The sequence below is a fragment of the Homo sapiens genome, chromosome 8 (genome assembly GCF_000001405.40).
Source record: "Homo sapiens chromosome 8, GRCh38.p14 Primary Assembly".
Lineage (NCBI taxonomy): Eukaryota > Metazoa > Chordata > Mammalia > Primates > Hominidae > Homo > Homo sapiens.
Genome location: NC_000008.11, coordinates 19,291,664 through 19,297,663, shown reverse-complemented (window position 1 = coordinate 19,297,663; position 6,000 = coordinate 19,291,664).

Genomic DNA, 6,000 nt, shown 5'->3' with positions numbered 1-6,000 from the left:
GTAGTACCCTCCCTTCTGACTCCTCTGATTATAATGACTCCACAAACCCTGCTTGGGTGACTTCATCTGCACACCCTTTTAAAATCCACATGTCAATGCCTCCTAAGTCTTTACCTTTAGTACAGATCTCTTCCCTGAAATTGTGACTTGGATAACAAATACCTGATGCATATGTCCACAAGAGCATTCCATATGAGTGTCAACTCAACACAGCACAAACAGAATTCATATTTTCTCTTTCACTCTAATCTCTTTTAGTTGGTTATACTAACCAGCCCCTCAAGCTATTCTTGGCTTCCCCTCCCCTTCACTATTTGTCATCTCATGTCAATTCTGATCAGGCGATGTGAATTCTAATGGCCAAATATTTCTTGAACTCTTCCCAGCCTCTACAGCTTTGCTGTCATTGGACCAAGGTCTCATCATCTATTTCCTAATTTCTAACTTGTATGGTCTCCCAACTGGTCTCCCTTCTTCTTATCTTATCTTCTCCAAATCCATCTTCTATGGAGCCACAGAAGAAATATGCTAAAAAAAATGTTAAGCCAACTGTGTTTATAGCACCTCAAAACCCATCACTGAAAGAGTAAAGTCAAAGCTCTATAGACCCAAGGCAAATTCCCGTCTTTCTCTCCAGCTTCATCCTTTAATCTGTCTCTCACTTTTGGCTTCAAAACAGTAAATAATGTATCCAGTTTCTTGTACTTGTACCTCCCATGCTCTTTTTGGCTTCTCTGTCTTTGTACATACTGTTTTGCCTTGAATCCTCTTTCCTTTTTCCTTCCTGCACTGGACAAACCCTCACTCCACAAACCAAAAACAAAACAGGAGCTAACTCCTTCTCATCCTTTAATACTCAGCTCAGTCATCAGATCCTCCACAAAGCCTTTCCTGACCTCTTTTCTCCTCCCCTGTAGAGATATGCCCCCTTGTGAGAGCTCCCATAATACCTATTACGTACTCTTCAAAGTACTTACTGAATATTTTATAATATCAAGTTGTAATAGGCCTTTATGCCCTGTTAGACTGTAAATGTCTTTTTTAATGGAGTGATTTTATTATGTTATTTTAAAAATTGACACATAATAGATTTACATATTTTCCAGGTATCTGTGATAATTCAATACATTCATATGTAATTTATAAAGATCAAATCAGCATAATTAGATTATTCATCACCTTAAGTATTTGTCTTTTCTTTATGTTAGAAACACTTGAATTAAGACTAAATTTCTTATGGGCAAATTTTGTCTCATTCCTTGTTGTAATCCCAGAACTTGGTAAAGTACTTGGCATCCAGTAGACACTTTATGCATGACTGACAAATCAATAAAATAATAGATTACTTTTACAAACCCTGAAGTCTAATTTTGGTACCTAGATGCGAATCCTCTCATGGTCCCTTGTATGAAAAATGGCTCTGTCATTTAATAACCTTGTGTATATCTAAGATTTTCAAGGCTACCAAAAGACATTTCTAATAGCACTTTAAAAGGTGTTTACACAGTTGTATCATCAGTATCAGAAGCCTAGCACAGTAAAGAGTACTCCTTGTTTAAAATTAAGAAGCAACCCTAACACTGACCCATGAGCCCCGCTGGATGGATGATTAGAGCATGTCCAATGTTGGAAGGCAAAATGAGAAGAAAGACTACACCAACAGAAAGTCAAATATCCAGTGCATTTGCAATCTTTGGGCTGAAATTAGAGCTAGTGAGAGTTTGAAAGATACTTATTAAACTACAAGACAAATGAATCATTAGGAAGGGGGATTGGAATAAATAGTACGGTGAAATAAATATATTTTCTTTAGACACCCAAAAAGGAAAGAAGCCCTTATTGCATGCATTGACAATGGCGCAACATTTAAAGGCTTGTAAGTTCCCTGAATTGACACGCTCAGTCCTTAAATGGTCTAACCCTTAGTTAAGGAACTATTTTGAAATCCACTTGTAGGCAATTGCTAAGCAGAACTGAAGGCCACTATGTAAGTTACCAGGATACCAAGTAGGATTCACAGGGACCGATGTGTTCCTTCCTTCTGTGAAGTGAAAATGGAACAGTGAAGACCACTTTATCTGCTGCTAAACAAAGTACTGTCAGACCCCCAAAACAGCCAGATAGCCAGAAATCTTGGGAAGTTAAATGTATATTTATTTTAACAAAGGAAAATTTTGAGTTGATGTTCATTAATTGTCTGTATTCATGTGAGTCCCCAGGGAAACTTTTCCCAAAGGTAGAATATGGGTTCTCAGAGTAAATGCCACCAGGTAAAAATATTTTTTCCTCTTTATTTAATAAACTGTCGCCTTCTACAGGCTGCAGGCTATAGACATTACAGTGTAATGAAGATGACAAAAATGTGTTACAGCGCAGTAGTATAAATTTTTGTAGGCACAAATGCTAGGTTTGAATTACAAGCATACAATTGACTTTTATTAAGATAGAAATAGTAGGTGGGCTATTTTTAATTTTGAGTTGTGTAGTTCATGATAAACTGGTCACTGTCAATGAGAGCCATGGCTACACCCATGAGCCCGTAACTGAGGGAATCCTGTGATCCTTCTAGGGCAGCCTATGGAATGGTTCCTGCTGTTCTGTTAACTTTATTGGAACCCCTGTCCTGGGAACTGCTGTCCTGGGTCTTGCCAGCTGTTGGCATGAGGCCACCAACCACTCCTCCCTGCACTGTCAGGATATGTAGCCCTGTACTCTTCCTGGCCAGGGATCCTCCCCTTCCCTATGTGGGTCTCAGTGTGACAACAGGCAGCATCAGGATTGGTTTCTGTTCCACATGTAGGGGATGGCTGTGTTTTTGGCAGGGAATTAAATTCATTAGAGAACAGAAGAAACTTTTTTGCAGCTCCATTTTTGGAAGTGGTGAATTAGTCATTAACTAAAACACTGATGGCTCTGGAAGTGATCCCCTCCAAGCTAAACTCAGTTCTCTTGTAGACATGGCCTGGAATTGAAAGACGGGTGGCTGTTTGGAACAGAACAAAGAATACTTGAGGAATGGGAAGAAGAGTGAGGATACCTGGAGGCTATCTTGGCTCTAACAGAGCAAACAAGGGGACCATGGCTCAGTCAATCCTCTCTCCGGCCCCAATGTCCTTATCTACACAATGAAAAACTTGCAGGGAAAGGAATCTAAAAGTCCAAAATTTGACCCTTCCATGAATCATGAGAATCAGACAACAAATTAGCCTGAGAATCTGAGTTAAGTGTGATTAAAAGCATATTCTATACGTTTCTAAATTTCAGCAAATATTTATGTTTATAATAAAGAACAAATGAGAAATGAAAAAGAGCAATAAATGAGAAAGATTTTAATAGTGCCAACAATCTGGTTTTTCCAGCTCCTGACAAGGTTTATCCAGTCATCAATCTATGCCTTTTCTTCTCTCACAAATTAGGCACCTAATGGTTTGAGGTTTAAGTGAGAAATGACTCAAGACTAAAAATTCTGGTTCGTCAGTTGGACTAGAGGCATTTTCCTATAATCGCTTAACTTTTTATTTTCATTCTTCAAGATTAATTTGAAATCCACAGGCAGGCCAGTTATATGTAGCATTGATGTGTCACAGTGATGGCAGTTTGCTGGAGCCTCAAAGGAACAAGGTTCTATCTAGCCTGGGCAATGTAGTGAGACCCCATCCCTACAAAAATTTTTCTTAATAACCAGGTGAGGTGGATCGTGCCTGTAGTCCCAGCTGCTTGGGAAACTGACGAGGGAGGATCACATGAGCCCAGGAGTTTAAGGCTGCAGTGAGTTATGATTGCACCACTGCACTCCAGCATGAGTGACAGAGCAAGACTCTGTCTCAGAAAACACACAAACACACACACATACACACACAAATCAAGGATCTGGAAGGATATAAATGCCCTCCTGTGTTTCTCGTGATGCAGCATCTAGATGAATTTCAAAACTGCTTTGCCGTCTACCGAAGGTCAAATGAGGTCTGATCCACTGCCCATCGGCTAGTGGTGATTAGTGAGAGCTGATGCAGAGGAGACTTTGGAGATTAGACACGGTGATGGGATTCCCACACCTGTGCAGCCTTCCCAAATCCTTCCTACATTCCCAGCTTGTTGTCCAGCACTCTCAAAATAAGTGTTACAAATGCATGGGCACCCATATGGAGCTGATATGTTTGAATTTTTTCAATGACAAGTTTCTAAGATCAAATTCAACAGTAAAAATAAAAAATACATGTCAAGTGCTAGTATGTTCTAAGCACAGTGGTTGGTAGGGGAATATGTGAAAAAGCAAGATAGAGAAGCTTCTGCCGTCAAGGTTTTAGTCCAGTGGGTAAGGGACTAAAAATCGATTGATCAAGCAAAGATTTTAATAGGTTTCTGCCAGGCTCCTATTTGCAGAAGACCAGGATTATTAGGGCAAAAACATCACTCAGACTTTAAGCGTCCTGCCCATCACCTTCTCTCCCCAATGTGGTTACCTGAAACCCCACACATGACAGGATGGATTTAAACACTCAAAACACGAATGAAGTATCCTCTTCTCTTATCTCCCTGGGAGTCTGCTCCCTCTTCTGTCTTTGCCTGGCTCTAATTTTGTCCTCTGACTACTGTATACTTTGAAATTAAGAAAATGGACAGAATGGGCCAGGTGCGGTGGCTCATAACTGTAATCTCCGCACTTTGGGAGGCCGAGGTGGGTGGATCATGAGGTCAGGAGATTGAGATCATTCTGGCTAACATGGTGAAACCCCGTCTCTACTAAAAATACAAAAAAAAAAAAAATGATCTGGACATGGTGGCGGGCACCTGTAGTCCCAGCTACTCGGGAGGCTGAGGCAGGAAAATGGCATGAACCCAGGAGGCAGAGCTTGCAGTGAGCTGAGATTGTGCCACTGCATTCCAACCCGGGCGACAAAGCGAGACTCCGTCTCAAAAAAAAAAAAAAAAAAAGAAAGAAAATGGACATAATGATCACAGGTTATTACTTCCATCCACAGTTTATTACCTCCATCTGCCTTGAGCTGTGTGTGTTTCTAGATCCCATGGCATAGATAGACAACACAATGTTGGCTTCCATGCAGGTGTAAGTGACATGTAACTTATGCGCAGCATATATCCATGTGGACTTTCTCATTCCTCACCCCTTTTATTCTCTCCAGCTGCTTCGTACAACTGGATATGGGATTGAGGAAAAGAGTTCAGAGACCACTGCTTTATGTGAATTGGTGTATCCTTTAAGAAACTATTCAAGGCCGGGTGCGGCGGCTCACACCTGTAATCCCAGCGCTTTGGGAGGCCGAGGAGGGCAGATTACCTGAGGTCAGGAATTTGAGACCAGCCTGGACAATATGATGAAACCCTGTCTCTACCAAAAGTATAAAAATTAGCCGGGCATGGTGGTGCACACCTGTAGTTCCAGCTACTCGGGAGGCGGAAGCAGGAGAATTGCTTGAGCCTAGGAGGCAGAGGTGGCAGTGAGCTGAGATCTCACCACTGCACTCCAGCCTGGGCAACAGAACGAGTCTCCACTTGGCACAGGCGGTGGGTGGGGGGTGGGGGGAGAAGAAACAATTCAAGTAGCCTTCCATGAAACAAGAAAAGCTTACACTAATTGAACATTTACTATGTGCTGGACACTGAGTATCTTACGTGTTTTAATTCATTTAACCGTCAAAGTAAACCTTTTGTTATATCTGTGTTACAGATGAGGAAAAGAAGGCAGAGAAGTTACTTGCCAAAGATTAAGAGTGGAAGCGCTTGGATATCAGTCCAGGTTGTTAGATTCGCATGTTTGTGTCCTTAACCTTTATGCATTATGCCTTCCTGGAATGAAAAATGGATTAGGAGTCTTCTTTGTCACATTTCACATTCCTCTTGAATTTGTGTCAGCAAAGTTGCAAACCTAAAGTATGCTCGGCATCCACAGCATCATCCACAGAATCTAATCTATCTGCAACGCTGGCCTCCCTGCCATGAAGCAACAGCATATCTCTGAGTCACTGTTGGCGTGAGCAT